This window comes from Homo sapiens, chromosome 2 (assembly GCF_000001405.40).
Source record: "Homo sapiens chromosome 2, GRCh38.p14 Primary Assembly".
Lineage (NCBI taxonomy): Eukaryota > Metazoa > Chordata > Mammalia > Primates > Hominidae > Homo > Homo sapiens.
In genome coordinates, this window is record NC_000002.12 from 73,084,862 (window position 1) to 73,108,492 (window position 23,631).

At 53.1% G+C, this 23,631-nt stretch overlaps 1 protein-coding gene across 2 annotated transcripts in view, besides 1 other annotated feature; it reads right to left on the bottom strand.

Annotated features, from left to right (window-relative positions):
• RAB11FIP5 (RAB11 family interacting protein 5) overlaps positions 1-23,631 on the bottom strand; it is a 39,567-nt gene that overhangs the window by 11,480 nt on the left and 4,456 nt on the right. For both annotated transcript variants that reach the window (NM_015470.3, NM_001371272.1), the window contains exons 2-3: positions 4,018-4,454; positions 3,189-3,888 (exon numbers count right to left, since the gene is read on the bottom strand). In NM_015470.3, coding sequence (NP_056285.1) covers positions 3,189-3,888; positions 4,018-4,454 — 1,137 coding nt within the window. The remainder of the gene's footprint in view (positions 1-3,188; positions 3,889-4,017; positions 4,455-23,631) is intronic.
• Positions 1,033-1,082: an enhancer, noted in NCBI's record as "active region_16025". NCBI's record gives its function as "activates an Ori minimal core promoter by ATAC-STARR-seq in GM12878 lymphoblastoid cells {active_cell/tissue: GM12878}" and the evidence as "EXISTENCE:reporter gene assay evidence [ECO:0000049][PMID:35858748]".

Sequence of the window (23,631 nt, forward strand, 5' to 3'; positions counted from 1 at the left end):
GCCCTTCAGCCTTCCATCCTGAGGCACGACCTCCTGACCCTCCTGAGATGGGCCCAACGTGCAGGAAACATGTCCAAGAGACGGGTACATCCTCTCCCATCACCTGGGCACAATGAGGTGACAGGGGCCTTGTAAGCTGTAAGTAGGGAGAACGTATCATTTATCTTCCAAACCAGAACACTGTTAATACAGTAACCATGACAAGAGCATGGTTGTGAGGAGCACATGAGGAGAGCAGGACGTGAGGCTGCACTAACTCCAAGCCACTGGGAGCACATTATAGTTACTCATTTACACCACCAAGAATGCAGCCAAGCTCCTTCCGCTGCCACAGCACATTCCAGGCCCACAGGGAGGGACCTTGTTGCCTACCACACCTGGTGCAGGGAGGCACTGCAGAGACTGCCAGAGGCCACCATCATGATACACTCATCTCTATGTTGTACCACACTTATTCCCAACTTTAAAAGTTTTTGTAATCAACATTTGATCCCCTTCTGTGCATAGAGTCCTATGGTTAGTGTGGGGGGCGGGGAACAAGGGAACACAAGGATGACCCGGGATAGACACAAAGACAATCCACTTTGGCCCTGGCGGGTTTAAAATGCGTGGTCTTGCCTGTCCTCAAACACACGTGAAGTAGCCTGTGCTGCAGCTCAGTGTGAATGGCTCATAACAGGGCAGGGGAATGAGGCTAAGTCCTGTGGCCAAGACAAGCTTGGTCTCAACTACCTACTCCCTGCTCCAGCACACACTGGTAGGGGCCCAGTGTGACTGCCATGGCCCCCAGCAGACAAAGGCCACATCAGAGGAACAGCAGGACCCTCTTCTCAGCCCTGTATAGCCTCATTTGTTCCTTCCCCACGGCAGCAGCCTTTCTCTGGATACCATACTCAACACGTTCAGCCCCGGGCCTCTCTGTGGGGCATCAGTGCCACATGGGAGCACTAGAGGGCGCCGCTGTTCTTCCTAGTGAGGAACATCCCACAATCTGCAATGGTAGCCCCAAGGCAGAGGCCCCCATTCTCTGGACCTGGGGACAGGCTCCCCAGGCCCCAGCTGGAGATCCTGCAGCTACATTCAGTCACTCCAGTTCTGGGTCTAACCCACAGCTTCCTGCCATGAGGCAGCCCACCTCTCCTTCTCTCCTCAGAGGCCCTAAGCAAGCCCTCTGGGGAAGCGCCAACAGTCCTTTCTTCCAGGCCAGCCTTCCCCTCCCTGCAAGGCACACAAGGCCAGGATGCTGCTGATTGAGCTCAAAGGCCAGGTGTCACATCTGTCCAGGCCAGGCCATCTTACCCAAAGCACAGCCCCTCCCACCCCATCTGCATGCACGGCCACAGAGCCTGGCCCTGCAGCCGCCACCTGCAAATAGGCCCCATCTTGGGAGGGATGCTGAGTGCCCTCCATCCTGCTAAAGACAAGGCTCAGAATTCAAGTGACAGCAGGACAGAAACCTCAGCTTCCTTATGGCCATCAGTGACCCAAATCCTCCAGATTCCAAGAGGCCATTAGGAGATATGGGGAAGCAGGAGAAAGAGGATGGAGACTGTAAGTGCCCCAGGCCAGTGACAACCCCACAGACTCACAGCCTGTGGGAGTCCAAGCCCAAAGCCTGGGCAGGACTCACCTACAAATGGCCCCAGCATTCACCTTGCCCCAGAAAAGGCCCAGAGACACCGTACGCACAACCACACTGAGCCTGTGCTCTGTGCCCCTTTCAATCCAGGCCCTCAGCTCCTCCCAGCAAATGCCCTGTCCAGATCTCCTGCTACCTCCCTCTACCCTACCACCTCCAAATACCTCTGGCTGGCTGTCACAGGGACACCAGGCTCAGCCTGGCATCTGGGAAAGGCCTGTCCCCTTCTTCCCAATCTTCCCCTAGGCCGCAGATGGCCAGCAGCTCACCTGAGCTCTGGTGAGTAGGGGCGGGGCAGTAGGGACAGGAGCTGCCATACCAAGCAAGGGAGGCAAGGGGTGGCATGCCCCTGAAACTGATCCACCCCCCCATACCCCTATCTATGAGGGTCTAACAGGGATTGTCAGCTGACCATGGCCCAAACCTAGAAAGGCCTGCATGTCTCTCTCCACTCCTCTCAACAGACTCAGAGTGCCACAGGGAAACAAAAAGCCAGGACTACAAGATTCCTCTCCCCTCTGGGCAACAGGTTTAGGGTCCTTCCTCTGCCCTATCTTTTGCCCCCTTGTTACTGTGCTTGTCCTCTAAACCTGTCCAAGCAGCCATGGAGCGGGAAGGGCAGGCTTGTTGAGAGAAACAGTGCTCTCACCACACTGGCCAGGGCTGCCACAGATGCTGCCTATGAGGGCTGGCCCCAGGCCCTTGGGAAGGTGCGACACACACTTCTGTGACCTGTACCTGGAGCCCCTCTCTGGACCCTGCTATACAATTCTGCAGCCTCTCCTGGCTCAGAATTAGGAGGAAGCAAATGGTAGGCATCAGGGTCTCTGCCCAGGGCCTGAAATGGGGGACTCAGTATATTCAAAACAAAACAGCTGCCACCAGCACTTCCCACGGTGCCATACCTCAAGACCAAGAGACATCAGAGAGGGCCAGAGCTCCCAGGGTCTCCAAGGACAGAGATGGGTTACAGATTTCATGGGAGCTGCCCACAGCCTCTTGCCTGGGGAAGCAACTGGCAGGTGAATGGACGGGGGAAGGAGTGGTGGCTTCAGTTATTTGACTCCCGTCTCCCAGAGGGAAGTGATCACAGAGACAGCTGGGGAGAAGTCCTCTAGCTCCAGAGAGGGGAAGGGAAGTCTGAGAGTGCGGTCTCCAGTCCTCATCTCTCTACCAAGGCTTCCTTACCTTGAGGCCAGAGGGCAAGAGGTGGAGGTCAGGAAGCAAAGAATTCACACAAATGGACTTTCCTGCTTCCCTCCAGCTCAGGGGGTGGGCATGCCAACTCATGCAGCAAGGCCTAGGGCTGAGAAGTCGGACCCCTCAATCCATAGGACTCTCAGAGCACTATGCCCTCGTAACTCACCTGTGTCCGTGAGCACAGAACGAACCTTGGCTTAGGGAGACACCCCACTAAACCATGCAAAGCCAGAGCCCCAGCAGCCTGCCTGAGGTCCATATCTACTCCTTCCTCCCTGCCCCAGGGTCCAGGCAGCACACACCCCAGCATCCTCCCCAAGGAGCAAAGTTGGTCTTGCCAACGACTTACCTGGGTTTCTGAGTCGGGTCCTTGGCTTCTCTCAAGCCAAACCAGCTACTCTTGGCCTTTTCCTCCCCACTGGATGAGTGATGTGGGGAGGCCCCCAGGATGGGACCCCCCTTTTCCCCCAGAGAGCTTCGGCGACCCAACTCGCTCCGACTTAGGCCTTGGTGGTGGTGGTGGAAGAGACCCATCCGGGGCTTGCGTTCCTCCTTCCGGGCTCCCTCCTTCTCTGCCACAGCCTCAGAGGAGGCCACTATGGGTGTGGCAACCTGGACTGGCTTGCCCTCTGGTAGCCGGGCCCCCTCCTCCTCTCCAGGGTGGCTGGCCCCAGGGGCCAGGACTTTAGCCTGAGCACTCAGCTCCTCCTGTCCAAGCACTGCCTCTGAGCTGCTGTTGCTACGACTGCCTCTGGGCCAGGTGTCATCTGTGGAACGAGGCCCCTCCTCGGAGAACCGGGAAGAGACAGCTTGCAAGGAGCCAGAGGATGGAAGCGAGCCCGAGATGGAGCTGCGGTGCCGCACAGGGCCCTGGGGCTCCTCATTGTAAATGTGGCTCCCATTGACACAGAGCGAAGAGCGGGAGGCAGCATCCAGGTGGCCCTGAAGGTCCAGAAGGGCCCGAGGAGGAGCCACTCGCATCTGGTTGGCCTCATCGCTGTAGGTCCTCTTATGGGTGAACAGCTTGGGGGACTGTGCAGAGTCCCTGCCTGCAGGGGAAACACACAGAGTTAGCTCGCAGGAAGAGAGGCCCCATTTCCTGGCCCCAGGCCTTCATCACCACCCAAGGGGAGAGCCAGTGCCCCCCTCCCCAGGGCGGCGGCCCTGTGCTTGCTCACCCCCTTCAGTGGACAGCCAGCTGCTACGGCTTGGTGAGCGGGTGAGGAGTTCGGCGCCAGGTCCCTGGTAGGCCAAGCTCCCGCTGGCTGAGGACAGGGTGCTGTCCGAGCCCAGCGAGGTGTTGGACTGGGTCAGGGACGACTTGCGCAGCTTGTTGCGGAGGAAGAAGCCTTTGGCTTTGCCCATCTTGCCCAGGCTGCCCAGGTCAGGATCCTCTATGGCGCTGCTTGGGAGGATGGCAGAGGCAGATTCCAGATCATACTTCTTCTTGCCCTTCATCTTGTCCCTGATCTTGCTGAAGGGAGACCTTGGCTTGTCCTTCATGGACAGGTCAAACATACTGGCGCTCAGGTTGTTGCGCGTGAACTGGATGGTGACTTCAATCTCGCCGCGTTCCTTCTCCTTCTTGCCTGGCTTGGAGTGCAGCTTGTACCACCTGTGAGAAGAGGGGAGCAGGCAGAACTCAGTCACGGGCCCAGGGAGCCTGGCTCCCGCCCGGTACCAGGCACTGCCCAGACCCCTCCTTGCTCTGAGAGCCACTGATAGCCTCTCCCCAAAGGCTCCTGCTCTGACCCATCGGCCTGGGCTTCCAGGCTTCAGATGCAGCTGAGAAACTATCCAAAACATTTCCATGATGGAGAAAACCACATCCTGAGTGGGGAAGCTCCTCGGGTGCCACCAGGTAGGGCGGCGGTTACCACACCATGCCTCCTCCCACCCCAGGACCTTCTCCTGGTGCTCAGAGACCTCTCCTCTGCCCCATCTCCCCTACATCTGAAACTCTGAGGCCCAGAGGGGTGAGGCTGGGCCTGGGAGAGCCCTCCCATCTCCAGGCCCCAGCACAGACAGACCTACCCACATTTCTCCCTGTTGACATCATCTCCTCTGGCCAGTCCCAGCCAAAGCTCTGCTCCCAGCCACCGTGAGCCCAGGAAAGAACAGCTCACCCAGAGGCCCAGGGCCAGGAACACAGGAATGCTAGTGCATACACTCATGTATGTATACACACACACACACACACACACACACACACACACCTCACTCACACACTGACTCACCCCAAGCCCTGTCAGGAATACCTCTACAAGATGCAGGAACAGACAAGAATGGCAGAAAGAGACCCAGGAAAGACGAAGAGCGCTCATATCTGTTGAGCATCTATGGTGCATTACGACCAGCATGAGGGTTCTTACCTCACTCCCGCACATACCTCCCAAAAAGCATATGAGGTAAGAGGTACTACCCCATTGTACAGATCAGGAGGGTGAGGCTCAGTGGTAAAGGAACCCATCCGTGGAGACTCAGAGCCAGGTGTCCAGCCCTCCAAAGCTTAAGTTCTTCCCGGTGCACACCCACTGTGCCCAGAGAGACACAGAGACAGCCCCCAACACACATGGCCACCACACAGGGTGGCTGGGGCCCGCCCTACTGGGGAGAGATGTTCTTATGCAGGGGTTGGCAGTTTCTTAGAGAACTAAGCAAACTCCGATCACACAAGGAGCAATCACACTTCTTGGTACTTTGCCTACTGAGGTAAAGACTTATGTCCAAAGAAACACCCTGCACACAAATGTTTATAGCAGCTCTGTTCATGATTGCCAAAACTTGGAAGCTGCCAAGGTGTCCTCCAGTAGGTGAAAAGATAAGCAAACTGTGGTACATCCAGACAATGGAATACTACTTAATGATAAAAATAAATAGGCTATCAAGCCATGAACAGACACGGATGGATCTTACATACATAAGTGAAAGAAGACAATCTGAAAAGGCTTCATGCTTGCACGACAAAACTATTTGACATTCTGCAAAAGGCAAAACTATGGAGACAGTGAAAAGATCAGTGGTTGCTGGGGGATTGAAGAGAGGACAGAGCGATGAATAGGCAGAGCACAGGGACTTCTCAGGAGAGAAAAACTATCCTGCATGCTACCGTAATGGTGGACATGCATTGTTATACACCCACAGAATGCACAAAACAGCAAGTGAACCCTAACATAATGTATAGACTCTAGTTAACAATGACGTGTTGATATTGGCTCTCAAATACAACAAACATGCCACACTAATGCAAGATGTTAACAGAAGAAATGGCGGTGGGGGCGTGGGTGGAGTAGATGGGAACTCTCTATACTTTTCACTCGTTTTTCTGTAAACTTAAAACTGCTCTGAAAAATAGACTTTATTAACTAAAAAAAAGAGAGCAGGGAACACAAAAAGGAAGAAACTATGAAGGAAATCATACAAGAATGTTTTTCTGAACTGAAGAACATGAATGCTAGAACAGTCCTACAAGTATGCAGCGCAATGAACTAAGACAGACACATGCCAACAGATATGACTATGAGGCTTAGAACACCAGGCATGAAAGGATTCGAACAGCACTGGAGTCTTCCTTAGCAACACTGGGCACCACATGAAGGAATGTCTTCACATTTCTGAGGGAAAAGCCTTCCACTAGCCTGGAATTCCAGACCCAGCCAATCGAGCATGAAGGTGGAATAAAGCCCGGTGGTAGTGGTCAGGCTGGTCACTAAAGGGCTCAAAGTCCCTTGGTGACTGCACAGCACACACACACATACACACACACACACACGCACACAGAGCTACCCAAGCCGCAGTCAGTGATGCAGGATCCACCTCCCGCCTGAGCTCTGCCCCCAACAATGCCAGCTCCCTGAGCTTCTGGTGGACACAGAGTGGGGTGTGGGGAGCCTTTGTATGAAAAGTCCCTATACATCCAAAGATCCAGAATTAAGTCACAGCAAAAGCTTGGTGGTAGTGGTGGTAGTATTTTGATTATTTTTTAATGTTGAAGTTTTTTTAAAAAGGCTTCCTGGGGCACCTCTGACTCTTCTACATCCCTATAGAAGAGCCCATCATGACGAAATCCTGGTGGGCTATGGCCCGTCCCCTCCGTGGAGACCTACTCCGCAGCCTGAGCGGCCTGAGCCTAGACTTTGGTTTTCCCTCCCAAACCTGAGAGACAATCCCCTGAGAAGGCCGGGTAGGAACAGATGGTGCCACAGGCAGGGCGGACAGAGAAAATGCCCGAGCGGGTGCCTCTCTCATAAGGCACGGGCAGAAGTGAGGGGAGGAGAGGCTAATTGAGACAGACAGACTGGAGGATGTATGTGAGGGTGTCTGTGGGGCAGGAGAGGAAGTTTGACAGAAAGACCAGCCAGCAGCATCAACAGCCTCACACCTCTACGTTCTCAGCCCAGTGACCACCGTGGGCCTGACCCTTTACCTATTTAGAGGCCAAGCCCTAGTCACTTTCCCTAAATCTGGGCTAGGCCCTATCTAGCACAGGAAAGTCCTGGGAGGTAGGGCAAAAGAGAAGGGTATGGACTCCAGCCCCAAACCGCCCAAGCCCTGAGTAACTAGGATCAGCAAGCACAGCCAGCCTTTGCTGGGGCAGACAGGTCAGGGGCCCTCAGCCCCAGCTACTCACACTGCACACACCACAGCGGTAATGCAATTACCTGAGGGGACCGGGGCCCTGTGGTGAGATTGCAGGGAACTAGCACTTCCTACATTGTCTATTTTTGTCCTATTTGAATGTTTTATAAGGAGCATATATTACTGTGGTAATAGGAAAAAGAGACAAGGGAAAGCTCTTGCTCCTATCTCATCTCAGCTTCCTGAGCCACAAAATGGGCCGTGCTCCTCTGCCTCCCAGCCCTCAGAGGAAGGCGGGAGGCCGAGTTTCAGGTCCTTTGCCACAAGGACCTTTTGGGCCTCTCTCCCCTATAAGGTCACTTCCCCTTCTCCTGTTCTGCCCAGCCCTCCCCCACAGGGAATTTGGGTTTCTCCCTGGACTTGTTTTTCAAGGAAGCACGGAAGGAAAAAGAAAAAGCTTCCCTGAATATTTTTTAGGCTCTCCCATCCAGAGCACAGTGAAATGGAGAATGGCCAGGACCTACCTCTGGACCCCAGCTGCCATCACTCGTCCACCTCCCTTCCAGCCCCACCTCCCTCTGCAACCCAGTCAAGGGCAGGACTGAATGGGATACTGCCTGGCACCTTGGCCACCCTGGGCACCCCAGGGACTCAACCAGAGCAGACCTTCTCCCAGAAGTATGGCCTACATGAGCTGAGATGGCCACATCCTCCCCCTCCCTAGAGGTGCTACTTCCCTGTGCCTGGACCAGACAGCCCCACAGACCTGTCGGGCACCATGGAGGTCCACTGGAGAATGGAAAACTATGAACACTGTCGAGGGGGGCTGAGGAATCCGCAATGAAAACAAATGGAGGCTTTCTTTTCACAGAGCCCCACACGCAGCAGAGCAAATGGGCTCTGAGCACCTCATCCCTAGAGACTGAAGCCCCCACGGGGAATATGACAGCAGGGTCCTATGACCTAGTTCAAGTCCCACTCCTCTGGGAAGCTCCCTCAGCTGCCACCATCCTGCTGGCCTGGCCCAGTCCCTCCTCTTTCTGACCAGGCATACACACTCTGAACCAAACTCACTCTACAGCCAGATCTGGCAGCACCGTGCCCCAGGACCCCCTGGTGTTGTCATGTCCTGGGCACCCAAGGTCTCCCTTGCTGGACTGTGTTTCTTGTGGATATTGACTGAGTATCCCCTGGGGCACACAGCTCCAAAGTAAAGAAATCATGCATGCACAGTCTGGAGCTGTTACAACCCTGCAGGGCCCTCTCTCAGCTCTCATCTGGATGCGCCTGACAGCAGGGCATGGTGGTGAGTGCTGGGTCCCCCACTGACCAGGTCACCTCCCTCAGCCTCCGCTTCCTTGGCCCTCAGGTGGGGACAACCATCCTCTTGGCTGTTGGGAGGCTAAGGCACGCCAAGCCTGGTTGGCAAAACCAGCTTATCCTCTCACTCTCTCCCACGACCGTGAGCTCTTAGGACTCCTGCTCTTGAATCCCTGACGCCGATCGCTCTGCCTAGCCTTCAAGGGAACGTGCCAGATCCTTTAATAAATATTCAACCTCGGACGCGCATGGTGGCTCATGCCTGCAATCCCAGCACTTTGGGAGGCCAAGGCGGGCAGATCACTTGAGGCCAGGAGTTTGAGACCTGCCTGGCCAACATGGCGAAACCCCGTGTCTACTAAAAATACAATAATTAGCTGGGTGTGGTGGCACACGTTTGTAATCTGAGCTGCTCGGGAAGCTGAGGCATGAGAATCACTTGAACCTGGGAAGCGGAAGTTGCAGTGAGCCAAGATTATATCACTGCACTCCAGCCTGGGCAACAGAGTGAGACTTTGTCTCAAAAAAAAAAAAAAAAAAAAAAAAATCCAACCTCAACTTCCCAAGTCTGGCTGTGCAAGAGATAGGCCCTGGTCTCCAGTTTTGGAGATTCTGCTACTGTTCCTTCCTCCCTACCTGATCAAGGTTTTTTCTCCCTCTCTGTGCCCTTCACCAGGCCTAGCTGACTGGGGCACTGGGCTTAGGAACTCCAAAGCCCAAGCTGAGGCCTGACCTGTCACTTTCATCCAGGGCAGAGACATGGCCAAAATCAATCAGGGTGTGACCAAGGCCCCAACATTCATCTAGACAATGGCTCACAAGACAGCTCTCATTTTCACAGCTCCACAGCTGTAGCACCCAAACCTGCTATGCATCGGTGCAGGATTTATATACAGATATAAATCCACCCAAGACGCCACCCAGACTTACTGAACTAGAAGGTCCCGGCCTGGTTATCTATATTTCTCAGTGGGTTTGGGGGTGGGGCCCCACAGGTGAGTGAATTCACCCAGACCCCATGTGGGAACCACAAGGATGGTCCCTAACGCTTTACATCACTTTAAGGTCAGCGGCCACCTGGGCTCTCCACCTGGGCTTGTCCTTAAGGACACTCAATCGGTACCCAGGAGAAACCTGTGTCTTTCTCCTGCCCAGTAAGGCTTGCCTTCCCAAGTCCCGAGGACACGCTGCTTCTGAGAGGACTGACCCTAGAAATACTCATCCCTCCCCCAGGAGGGGGTAAGTTACCAAAGGAACACACTGGGGAGGAGCAGGCAGCATTAAGCACTTTCTAGAAATTAAGAGTGTTAAGATGAATTAGGCCTCCTAGATCAGAAACCACTGGAGAAACAACACTCTCACCAAACCAGGAGGAAGGACAGTGATTCTGCCCCCATACAATTCCCCTGACACCCACCTGGTGCTCAGAGTCCGGGCTGCCTGCAGCACATATATCACTAACTGGCACATCCTTCACTGCAGGAACTAAGCTGCTCCACCTGCAAAGCACCCACCTTGACTTCATCTCTCTGTCAGGGGCACCATCTGGGGCACTTGAACTCTCCAAGGCCCAGCCAGCACATGCTCAGGACACAAGGGTTTTGATGAAGATGGTGATTATCTGGGACTTGTCCCAGGTGCCTCTGCAGCCAGGACATGATGGACACAGTAAGAAAAGGCACAGTAAGAGAAAATTCCTTGCACCTGAAGAGGCACACGCAGCTACTGATGCTGCTCTTCAGAAGACACACATCAGTGCTTCTCAAACTGCAAAGTGCAAAAAAAAATCACTGGATCTTGTTAAAATGTGTATTCTGATACCCAAAGTGTAGGTGGACCTGAGAGAGCTCCCAGCTACCCATGCTGCTGCTGGCCCAGAGGCCACACCTGAGCAGAGGGCTGCACATGAGGGGGCTAGAGAATGGCCAGAGCTGACCCTGCTGAGGGCTCACTGTGTGCCTGGCTCTGCAGCTCTTTTATTATCCATGCAACCAGCCCAGGAGATGGGAGGCCCATTTTACAGATGAGGAAACTAAGTTGTGGAGATGGTTTGTAAGTTGCCCAGGGCCACACAGCTAGTAAGTAATGGAGCTGGAACTTGAACATGAAAATGCCAGCCTCCAAGCCCATGTCCTTAACCTTTAAGGTTTAGCAACTTTCAGAAAAGCAGAATGCATATACTCCTGCCCTGAGTACCCTGAGAAGACAGAGGCCAGTAAAGGCCTGGCTACACATCACAGACCCTGAAGACCAGACCCCCTTTCAAAAGGTTGGCACAATCCCAGAGCACAGAGCCCTGAGATGCCACTGAGGGGACCTCAGGGTTTTGTCCTGTCCTTAGCCCCTCAAAACCTTGTCCGAGAGCAGCCCAGCCTCCCTCAGAAGCCATCAGGGTCCAGAATTCCTGAGAGGCTGGGACCACAAGGAAGCTCTTACAGGGCCCCCTGCTAAGCTAGAACACCTCTCCCAAGCTCTCTCTGCCTGACAAAGTTCACCAGGCCCCGTGTGGACTTGGGTCTCGGCCCTCAGCCTCCCCCCACCCACCACCAAAGCAGAGGACAAAGTGGATGGAAGGGGTGGAGAGGAGCAAGTCTGCTCACCTGTCACCAAGATTACAGCCCTAGTTACTCCTGCTGGTGGGGTCCCCAGGCCCTCATAACCAGCTCTCCACCTAGTTCTCAGAAAATGAAGCTGGGCTAACCAATGCCATCCAGCATAACTGGGGAGGTCCTGCACTCAGGGGAGAGCTGACCTGGGGCAGCTGTCACACATACCCATGCAAGTGCCAGGGAACTCCAGTCAGAGACAGACAGGGGTGTGGGGGCTATGGGTAGCTGCAGCAGCAGGCCTGGACACATCTAACTCACCCCCAATTCTTATCAGTCTAAAATTCAGACCCAAATAACAATGCCCCTTTCTGAGCCCCCACTCATCATTTATTCCAGACTCCAAACAACCTAGAAACCAGATTTGTCTCTTCTTTTCCCTCACTCCCTACATCTAAACTTCAAACTCTGTGAACTCTACCTGCAATTATCTCCAGAACTCACTCTCTCACCACTGTCACCCCATAGTCCCATCCACCACCACCTCCCTGATGGACATTAGATTTCCCTGTTTACCTGACGTCCACATTCCACCCAGCAAAGACGTGAAGTGGGAGCTCAGCACGCCCCGCTCTCCCTCACTCAGCACCTTTTGGGGCTTGGCTCCTCTGCATCTCTCATTCCACTTGGGCCACAGTGATTCTCCTGGTGTCCCTGAACCCATCAGGTGTGTTCCCACCTCAAGGCCACTATACGTGCTGCTCTCTCTGCCTGAGACACAGGCCAGACCTTCTGGCCATGGTTCACTCACTCATTCGAGTTAGGGCTCTGTTCATCCAAGCCTCCTCAGTCTTCCCTGAGTACCCCAACTGCAACCACCCCTCACCCTCTTTATGTTTTTATTTTATTTTGAGATGGGGTTTCACTCTTGTTGCCCAGGCTGGAGCGCAATGGCTCGATCTCAGCTCACTGCAACCTCCACCCCCAGGTCCAAGCGATTCTCCTGCCTCAGCCACCTGAGTAGCTGGGATTACAGGCATGTGCCACCCCGCCTGGCTAATTTTGTATTTTTAGTAGAGACGGGGTTTTTCCATGTTGGTCACACTGGTCTCGAATTCCCGACCTCAGGTGATCCACCCGCCTCGGCCTCCCAAAGTGCTGAGATTACAGGCGTGAGCCACCACGCCCGGCCCCCCTCACCCTCTTTCATCATCATACTGATCACAAGCTGGCACTGGTGTGTGCACACGCATGTGTCCCCATGTGCACATCAACATGACAAAATGCTGCACATGTTCAAGGCTTGTTAGCATCTGTCTTCCCTTGCTCAACAGTCAAGTGCATTATTCTGTTCATCTCTGTACCCCCAACACTTAACAGTGGACACTCAAATATTTGCTCAATGAGCCAACAAATTATTCTGTGACTAACGTGGGCCCCCTTCACAACTGCTCTATGGTTTTCTACTGCTACAAACCCATGGGTCTTACTTGTGAGAGCTGGAGCTCCCAAAGAGCAAAGAGGATCCCCACCCCACCTGCCAAACAGGAGCCTTTGGAGGGCAGGAGCCAGAGATGTCAGGCTTAAAGGGAGGTTTCCAGAATGAGACCTTCTTTAATTGTGAGACACTTCCTCAGCCCCCAACTGAACTAAGAATCTCACTAACTTCCCTGGGAGAGAAGATGCCCAACCAGATGTGGGACGCATCCAGCTTTGTGAACAGAGGAGTCACTGTTGACCCAACTCCAGCCCATCTCTTGGCCCAAAAAGGCCACTGATCTTATCCCCATTACCAACTACAATCACTCAGTTAGCACCTACTGTGTGCTGGCACAATACTAAGCACTGAACACATGGAATTACATCTTACTCAATCCTCTTAACAACCCTGTGAGGTTGATATGGGAGGCAGACTCTGGAAGTGGCTAAGAGCATGGACTTCGGTGCCAGGCTGCCTGGTTAAGCCCCAGCCCACCACGTGCTGGCTGTGTGACCTCATATCTATGCCTGTTTCCTCACCTATCTATAAAATGATGGTAGCAGCCTACCCTCTCCTCACAAGACAACAGGCTGAGTTACCCAACCCAAAAATCTGAAATCTGAAATGCTCCAAAACTTTCTGAGCACCAATATGATGCTCAAAAGAAATGGTCACTGGAGCATTTTGGATTTTTATATCAGGGATGCTCAACTGGCCAGATAATACAAATATTCCAAAATCCAAACTCCAAAACACTTCCGTCCCAAGCATTTGGAATACGGGATCTTCAACTTGCATGAGGATTCAATGGCCTATGCGTGGAGCGCTCAGAACAGGGCCCGGCACACGGGAAACGCACACGAGCATCGGCTCTCACATTCAGCAGGTGTGAGCACTGAGGTAAGGAGACGTGCACTGGGTCCAGTCACACAGTAAGCAGGAGAGCCAGAACTGGAACTCAGGCTCCCTGCCTCCAGAGCCCCCGACCTTGACCACTATACTATGCTGCCTCCCTCTGCAAGTACAACACACACTCACCCCCGCATCCAGGAACCCCCATGTCTCTGCCCAACCAAGGAATCCAGAATAAAGTCACCCCCCTATTTCTCTAGAGCAGGGGGTATGTGTTAGATGGGAGGAAAAATCACATCTTTATTTCCCCTAATCTCTAACAAAATTTAGCATGTCTTCCCACTATGAATTTTTGCAACAGTAGTACAGAAGTAGTACCTATACGCTTGTCACCAAGAGAAATCGGATTATTTTCCTATCACATTTTAGCTGTTACGGATGTCACAAATATTTATACTCATCACCACTTTGAATTGTAAAGTCATTAGACCTCCTGTAGATCTCATTATTTAATACAGTAATAAAGCACTTATGTTTCTTTAGTAAATGCTTTTTTGTTTTTTTTTTCTTTTTTCTTTTTTTTTTTTTTTGAGACAGAGTTTTGCTCTTGTTGTCCAGGCTGGAGTGCAATGGCACAGTCTCGGCTCACTGAAACCTCTGCCTCCTGAGTTCAAGCAATTCTCCTGTCTCAGCCTCCCAAGTAGCTGGGCTTACAGGCCCCTGCCGCCATGCCCAGCAATTTTTTGTATTTTTAGTAGAGACGTGGTTTCACCATGTTGGTCAGGCTGGTTTCAAACTCCTGACCTCAGGTGATCTGCCCACCTCGGCCTCCCAAAGTGCTGGCTTTTATATTGAGAACTATACTTCAACACCATTGGTGTACTTTGCAATGCTGTATATTTAAAGACATTCTGAGGAGTCCATGGCACCAAAAGGGCTGAGAAAACCTGCTTTAGAGTGGGGAGGGAGCAAACTCAGCAGAAGGCCAGGTCCTCCCCTCCCTGCCCGCTGCATGGCATCCAGGCTGAGAGCTCCAAGCAGAGGATGGGTGCTGCTCCCATTTCCCACCCAGCTAAGGGAACAGGGGGCCTGGTGAAGGGCAAGAAGCTGGCCGAAGGCCCTCAGATTCCCCAGCGTCACGCCACAGTGCTCAGGCTGACCCTCAAATCCTTGCATGCTGATGAAAGGTGACTCCAGAGAAACAAAAACAGCCACATGCACCTGCTAGCTGGGAGCAAGCTACTCTGGAGCTTGTTTTGATCATGCCCCCAACATCACAGTCCCCAGTTTCCCTGGGCTGGTCCCCACCTGAGCCTCACCTGCTATGGTTGCAACCCAGCAGGTCTGCAGCTTCTTCCTTCTGGCTGCAGCCACTGCCCCAACCTCTTCCAAAGACAGGCCTTACCTCAGCTGGTGAACAGCTACTACCACCCTGGGGACAAGGAGCCTGCAAAGCTGACTGTTGTAGGAATCAAGCCCCATCCCCAAGGCAAATGAAGTCAAGATTAACTTAGTCAAGACAATTGAGCTGCCCCAAAATACTGGGTGGGAGAGTCTTCTAAAAGCGAAAGCAGGGCACCAATGTGAAGAGGAAGAAATACTGATCCAGGCCTCCTTTCCCAGCCTCACTCCCCTCACCTAGCTTCCCTTAGAGCTAGTACAAACGGGAGACTCTGGGGCTCCAGAGGAATCCTCTAGACAGGCATGCTACTCAAAAATCAGGTGATAGGGAGGAAAACAAAACACTGATCATAATACTCCCTGCCCCGGATTTCTACCGCGGGACAGTGATATGCCGTTTCAAGTGACACTGTATAGATGAAATCATGTGCCCACAAAAGGCCTGCAGCCTTCAATGACTGGTATCATGGACAGCACCATGGGCAGGGCATATATTTAATGTGAAAGTCATCACCAAACTGAAAAATAACGGGTTTTTTTGGTTGTGGTTTTTTTTTTTTTTTTTTGAGATGGAGTCTCGCTCTGTCATCTAGGCTGGAGTGCAGTGGTACAATCTCAGCTCACTGCAATCTCCGCCTTCCAGGTTCAAGCAATTCTTATGCCTCAGCCTCCTGAGTAGCTGGGATTAAAGGCATGTGCTACCACACCCAGCTAATTTTTGTATTTCCAGTAGAGATGGGGTTTCACCATGTTGGCCAGGCTGGTCTTGAACTCCTGACCTCAAGTGATCCATCTGCCTCGGCTTCCCAAAGTGCTGGGATTACAGGTCTGAGCCACCATGCCCGGCCCCAGACTGAAAAATAATGGCCAAGAATTGTCACTCCTGCCATTCCCAACAGGTTTTTTTTGGTTGTGTTTTTTTGTTTTTTTGTTTTTTTTTGTTTTGAGACGGAGTCTCGTTCTGTTGCCCAGGCTGGAGTGCAGTGGCACAATCTCAGCTCACTGCAACCTACGCCAGCCTGCAATTCCTGCCCCAGTGACCAAACAGTGAGAGAGAAAGCTCGTCCTTATGCTGGGCTTCCTGCTGGTATAGAAGAAATTCAGACCTGGAGAGATAATCATCAATGGATATTAAAACCTCTGGGAGAAAGGTTGGTGGTGGGGTGGGGGGGATTTGGAATGCTGGGGGGCTAACCACCCATCAGGGCTTCGCTGAGGGTGGACTGCAGGCAGGTGGGCCTCCCCAGGTGAGGCAAGGCTTGGCCAGCCCCTGGGAAGGACTCTTGCCAGGGAACCTAGTGTCCAGGGGTGGAGAATCAGGGTGCAGGCCATCACGAGGAACCAACTGGCCAGGGCTACAATGTGTGACAGTCTTGAGGACAAATGGCCTGGTTCCTCACCAGGTGATAGCATGAAACGGAGGGGCGGGAACTTCCAAAGGGGAGACATGTCATGAGGAGACATAACAGCCAGGTGCCTATTTGGATCCTAACTCAACAAATCACCTACGAAGAGGCATTTTAGATATCAAGACAACTTGAATGTGGGCTGGATATTAGATGATTATTAAGGAATTGTTGATTTTGTGTGAGGATGGCATTAAGGTTATGTTTTTTCTAAAGGCACCCAAATCTGTTGGAGTGGGCTGGAGAGGCATACTGAAGCATTTAGGGTGTACTGACACTCCTGCTCCCACCTGGGACTGATGGTGGATTGACATTAGACTCCTGCGGAGGTCAGAGCGTGTCTTGGGCCAGGACACAGGCTTTCCCTCCTTGTCCTAAGACTGAGCCCCACCCCTGCTCTCCTCCCTCAGCCCCTGTGCTTACCAACACCCCTGTGAACACCTGTGAACTCATCAGCCCACCCGCTCACCACCGCACAGGGGCTGACAGCCCCGCATGGGATCCTGACATCCTGACAACCAGCCTGACACCCACCACCCCTTAAAGGCACAGGGCATGAGTCGGCGAGATCCCACCCAACCAGAGGAGGCCTCAGCCAGGCCTCTGCTCCAATGTTCCCCAAGTATTTGCCAGGAACAAGAACGGAGGTGTCTTTGAAGAGCTTATGCCTTGGTGGAGAAGACAGCCACATAGCTAACGGAAGATGGTGACTGACACCACAAAAATGCACAAATGAAGCACACGGGAAGGCTCAAGGGGAGGGGTTTGATTTCAGGATGAGGGTGCGGGATGTGGCATTTATATTGGGCTCTGAACAATGGGTGGGAAAGAGGCGAGGAGGGGGTAGGGAGACATTCCAGTTGCGAGGGACAGGATATGCAGACTGCAGAAGTGCAGGCAGGAGAAGGAGACTACCCCTAATGTCACACTAAGGAGCCATAATTGTATTCTGGGCCCTGAAATGCACGACAGGGTACAACACAAGGACAGGACTGACACTATGCTGCAGGAAGAGGGAGGGACAGCAGAGAGGTGAGGCAGGAGACCAGCAAGGGGCAGTCACAGCCCAGGGTAGTTCCCATGGCCAGGCTGACCTGAGCAACTCCTAATGCCTTAGCAGTTATTTCTCACCATTAATTAATAAACTGGCACTCTGGTTTATAAAAAGGCAGCAGCAGCTAAGGTAACAGCCCAGAGCAGAGGTTAAAAAAATTTTTTTTTAAGCCTGAACTAGGACAGGAACAATGGGGAAGGTAGGAGAGCCAGGGGGGCCCCTGGGAGCACCCCTTTTTCGCCCCCTGCGGCAGCACTATGGCAGAGCCACTCCACTCTGATCTCTCACTACTGTTGGCAGCAGGGACAGTTATTGACCTCTTATCCCTCACCACCTGAGAAGGGACCCGAGATGCAGAACATCTTCTAACACCTGCCAGGTAAATGACATGGAACTGGCAGGGCTCAGCTTTTGTCTCAGAAACAAGTTGGAAAAACAATGATTTTAAGGGCCTTGTGTGAGAACCCCAGTGGACTGGAAGATGGGAGACCTAGGTTCTAGTCCTGGCTCTGCCTTACTAAGTGGCTTGAAGCAGCCATTTCACCTCTGTAAAATGAGGGTGATAAAATCATGCAGTTAAAGACAAGGTAAAGTGAAACTAGAACTATTATATTCAGAGTATGGTGACACAGTTGGAAAACCCTTTTCCCTAGAGCCTCCTCCACCCTGATGCCTCCTCTCCTCTCCAAGTGCCCACCACAGCAGCCTGCCTCACACACTGGCACACAGGAGCTGTGTGGGCCTCAAGCCAACCCCTGCTGTCTCCCCGCATCCACCGCCTACCCCATCTTTTGATTTGGTATCTACAGTAAAACTGCAAGCCAGACATAATTGCAGGACAGGATACAGCCTCTTATCAGGCCAGAAGATGATTCTTATCACCTCCTCTGGCACCATGCCTGGCACCAGCAACCTTTGGAGGGAGCCCAGGTCCTCATTCATGAGTTCCCCCTGCCTCTGTGGGGACAGCTCACTCATCCCTCCTCAGACCCCAGCCAGGTCCAGCCTCCCTCCCTCCTGGGCACAAGCACTTTTAATCCTCATCCTAATGCTGTAGGCTCCAAAGGTCTGTCACTGTCAGCTCACCCAGCACAAGGAAAAGCTGCAAAAATGGCTGGAGACAAGTCAAACCACAGAGAGCAACAGAAAAGATGTAGGGTTGATAGCACAGTGTAGGGAGAAAAGCATCAGGCTTAGACATCAGAAATCTGGCTGCCACTAAAGAGTTGTGTGACCTTGGACAGGTCATTCCACCTCCTGAGACCCCAGTCTCCATATTCGCAAAAATGGTGATCCCCCTGTCTGCCCTCAGGGAAGAATGAAATGAGGTGATACTGGGAAGGCACCCTTAAAAGTAGGCCAAACCACACAGAAAGATGTGGGTTTATTGTCTATCAAAGGCCTTTTACAGGCCATCATCAGCCCCATATAAGTGAGGTGGCCCAGGACCAAAAAGCAACAACCCTGCCCAGGAGGAAGGAGAGAACCCGCAAGATGACCTCTCTCAGGGGATCTCTGGCAGGTGGAAAAATAAAGAAATTCCACTTAACCCATCCCCCTCCCCAGTGTGCTCCTAACCCCATATTCACCCTGACCAGGAGACTCAGGTTGAGGAAGACAAAACCAAGTGGCGATGGTCCCCTCTGCCAAGGTCTCAGTTCAGACCCCACAACAGGGGGAAACAAACAATAACTTCCCTGCCAGGCTCATGGGAAGTACAGAACTGTGTGGTGAGAACGTTGCATTTGGGAACAAGGAGGGAGGGAAGAAAAAACACAACGCATTTGCCTTTAAATGCAGAAAACACCTTTGGAAGGTTACACAAGAACTGGTAATGTTGGATGTCTCTGAAGAGAGGAGCTAGGTGACTTAAGGTGGGTCAAGGGAAATTTTTTTCATTATGTGCCCTTCTGTACCTTTAGAATTTGGACCAGGTGAACTACTCAAAAGTAAATAGGGGCCAGGTGTGGTGGCTCACACCTGTAATCCCAGCACTTTGGGAGGCTGAGGCAGGCAGATCACTTGAGGTCAGGAGTTCGAGACCAGCCTGGCCAACATGGTCTCTACTAAAAATACAAAAATTAGCTGGGCGTGGTGGCACGCACCTGTAGTCCCAGCTGCTCGGTAGGCTGAGGCAGGAGAATCACTTGAACCTGGGAGGCGGAGGCTGTAGTGAGCCAAGATCACACCATTGCACTCCAGCCTGGGCAACACAGCAAGACTCTGTCTCAAAAAACAAAACAAAACAAAACAAAACTAAATAGGAAGTAAAGAAAGTCCTGCTGTTTTGCTGAGAGTGGCACACAGGGAACTAAGCTTGGCTCCCCTCACTCCCTCTCCTGGCCCAGTCCCACCACACTCACAGTTTCCCTGCCTCCAACTCACCCTGCCTCTAATCAGGTCTCACCTGTTATTCAAGGCCTCACCTCTCCCAAGAAGCCCACCCTGATCACTCCAACTGGTGAGCTCCCTCTTCTCCTGACCCCCTCATTCTCTCACGCTTTTTATATGCTGCTTTGTAGAGGAATTGTCCTTGCTGCGTTAGGCTTATCTCAAACATATTTTAGCCCTTCTGGAGAAAGGGCTATCCACTTTATTTCCCTGGTTTCCCCCACAGCACTGACCTAGGCACAGTGGTTACAATGGTTGTCCAGTAATTGCTTCCTGGATGTTGTGAAACAGAAGGGAAAAAATAGCAAATGACTGTATTGCTGCAGGAGGAAGAACAGGATGGCTTGGAGTGTTCTGTCACAGTAAAACCAGCATGTGACGTCTTGGGAAGGATTACGGAGTCTGGTATGTGCTGATGCCCCCAAGCCCTGCTTGAAAGGAGCAAATCTCCCCAGGGTGGAAAGTGCCCTGGTGGAAAGTGAGGCTGACCTTCTCAGGCCTCACTCCACTCCTTTTTTTATTTTTATTTTTTGAGACAGGATCTTGCTCTGTCACCCAGGCTGGAGTGCAGTGGGGCAATCATTGCTAATCGCAGCCTTGAACTCCCGGGCTCAAGTGATCCTCCCACCTCAGCCTCCTGAGTAGCTGGGACTACTGGTGTGCACCACCATGCCCAGCTAATTTTTTGTATTTTTGTAGAAATGGAGTCTTGCTATGTTGCCTAGGTTGCTCTTGAACTCTTGGCCTCCAGTGATCCTCCTGACGCGGCCTCCCAAAGTGCTGGGATTACAGGCATGAGCCACCACACCCAGCCCTCACTCCACTCCCGAGAGGTATCTGGTGGCAGTGACTCCCTCCCAAAGTATGAGACAACATCCCCCAGCCTCTGGGACAGACATAAGGCTAGAGCTGCAGACCAAATGTGCTTATCCCAATAAACCAAGGACTCACCCAGGAGAAGCAGGTCATGCCTACAGAGCACCAGATTAACCCCCGAGATCCATGTCAAGGAGAAGAGAGGAAGCCTTGGCAGGCAGCAGCTGAGCACCTGGCCCTGTGCAGAGCAGGGTCATGGAAGACATGGGGGAAGACTGAGGTGGGCAGTGTGGTGTGGTGGCCAAGAGCATAGACTGGGAAGCCAGACTGCCTGGGTTCACATCCTGACTTTGTGCCATGTGCTGTGGTCAAGTCCAGTGACTCATGCCTATAATCTCAGCACTTTGGGAAGCTGAGGCAAGAGGATCACTTGAGAGTTCATGGCTGCAGTGAGCTATGATGGCACCACTGCATGCCAGCCTCAGTGATGGAGCCAGACCCTGACCCCACCCCCTCAAAAAAAAGAAAGAAAAAGCAAAGTCACTTTACCTCTCCGTGCCAAGGTTTCCTCAGCTGTTAAACAGCACCTACACCTCAAGGGCTTGCTGTGGACAAATGGAAGTCCAGACCTTAAGACAGTGCCAGCACCCAGATAGGCCTTCATCAGCAATGCACTAGACCAACGAGGCAATGAAAATAATGCACCAAAACAGGTGCCACATGCTCCAGATGTGGGGATTCAGAGAAGGCTGGGGAGGCAGATGGGTTCCATGATGGCCGACAGGTCTCTGGTGTATGTCCCCTCCTCACAGAGGAGGAGACCACAGCCAGCGCCAGTGGCTCTGTCTGCTCCGAACATCTCCAGGGCTCCCTGTCTAGGCCCCAAAACACAGCACTTGGCTATAGGGCTTCCTCCAAATGTAGGGAGATATCCAGGCTTCCCCCCCTTTGGAATCTCTCCCCCACCAGTGGCCCACTCTTGGCCTTTCAGGCCTCTAGAACTGCCTTTGGATTGGACTACCCTTCCAGGTCAGCAGAGAAGCCCAATGTCCCCATCTCACTAAAACCTGGCAGGCACTTCCACAGAAACTCCGGGGTGCACACAGGGCTCCAAATGCCACCTCTTCTTTACCCCAAATCCTACAGCTCTGTGGGCTGCCCGGGTCTAATGGAAACCACACAGAGCACACCCTCCACTAAGTGCTGGGTAGTGAGAGTGTGCAGCTCTCCCTCTGCAAACCCCAGTTTCCTTGTCTGAGCTCTCTTCCAGCTCCCATGCTGGAGTCCCATGAGTAAGGGCTGTGCTCCCTTCTCCACTACCAGGTGAACCAAAGGTCACAGTGGCCTGTGATACCCCCTCCCCACCCTGCAGCTTCTCGGAGGTGCTGGCTGCCCCTGGGAGCCCCGTTTTGGGAGGCCCCACTTACTGCTCCTGAGAGGCCGGGGCCCAGCTCCATACAGAGGCCTCATGTGGCCAGCCAAGTCCCTCTCCTCTCTGGCCACCATTGTTCCCAAGGTAGAAATAACCTCAGGCCAGCTCAGTAAGGGCACTGTGATCAGACTCTTCCCTGAAGGGACTGCCAGGTGCACAGCAGACTCACATGTGGACTCATTTTTATTACTTGGCTGTGGGGAAGAACAAAACTGCTTCATGGCTACACTATTTTGCAAAGGAAAGAAAAAGAGGACTGCTTCCCCTGGAGCAGAGCCACAACAGCTTCTGTTCTTGTATTCATCATCTGTCCCTGCGTAGGGTGAGAAGGGCAGGAGAACATCTGGACAAGGCCAGGCCAGTGGTTTAGACAAGAGCGTCACAGCACTGAGGTGGCAGCAGTGACAAGTGGGGCGGGCAGCTCCCAGCAGAGAAGGACAGCCCTCAAGGTCACCGGGATGTGGCTCTGCTGAGCTGTGCCTTGCAGCCAGCTGCCTACAAGGAGAGACAGGTGGGGCAGAGATGGGGCTGACCACAGGCCCCTTGAAACTCCCTGGTCCCAGCCAGGGCTCAGGGCCAGGGGCAGATGGGGAGGGCAGGGGAAGCTGCCAGGCCAGAGAGGAGGAGCTGCCCAGCCTGACTGAGGAGTCACACTTCCTACCCCGCCCCACACCCCAAGACGCTGCTGCTCAAGCAACCCCAAATAAAAACCACCCCATAACTAAGGGCCGTGGAGCCTCGGCATACCAACGACTGGCTTCTGAGTGCAGCCACACCCTTCCTCTGCAGCCAGAGTAGACCTCCCCAGCAGTGCCACAGGCCTCCCATGCCAGCTCTGGGGCCGAGCAGGAGCCAAGGCCAGGGGCTCAAGTGACCACAGCTGTTTCCCGAGGGGCAGAGTCACACCCAGAAGCCAACAGAGAGAAGGCTGTGGGGTCACGCACCATCTGCCCACCAACTGTCTGCCCAGGCTGTCTGTGGGCTACGGGATAGATGGAAGCCCTCAAAGACCATCCCAGCCTTAGGCTAATGGGATGCATGTCCCCTCAGGTGCCTCCCAGTGCCCCCAAACCCACCCACCTAAGGAGGTCTCAGAACACCATGACCAGCCAGGCAGAAGGCTCTCATCTCAGACCTACATCTTTCACAGCCTCAGCTCTCCGAGCTCCCTTGCCAAGTGGCACAGTCTAAGCAGGGGCTGAACGGAGCCTCTTGCAGGCCACAATTCATGGTCACAACAGTTTTAGTCTTTGTGATGAAAAAAGACAAACTGATCCCAACCCAAGCTGAACCCACAGCCTTTGCTTTCCCAAGAGGCCAGCTTCTAACCATTGATCCAACAGGCCCAGGATGACGATCCTGTCTGCCACACTCCAGGCCTTACCGCAGGGACCATTTCACCCTTATCAGGATGAGGGAGAAGGTGGACAGGGGCTCCATATAACACAGTTGTGCTCTCTCCTCCTCTCCTAAAACACACAAAGACCAGCATTCCAGGGGGCAAAGACCAGGTCTC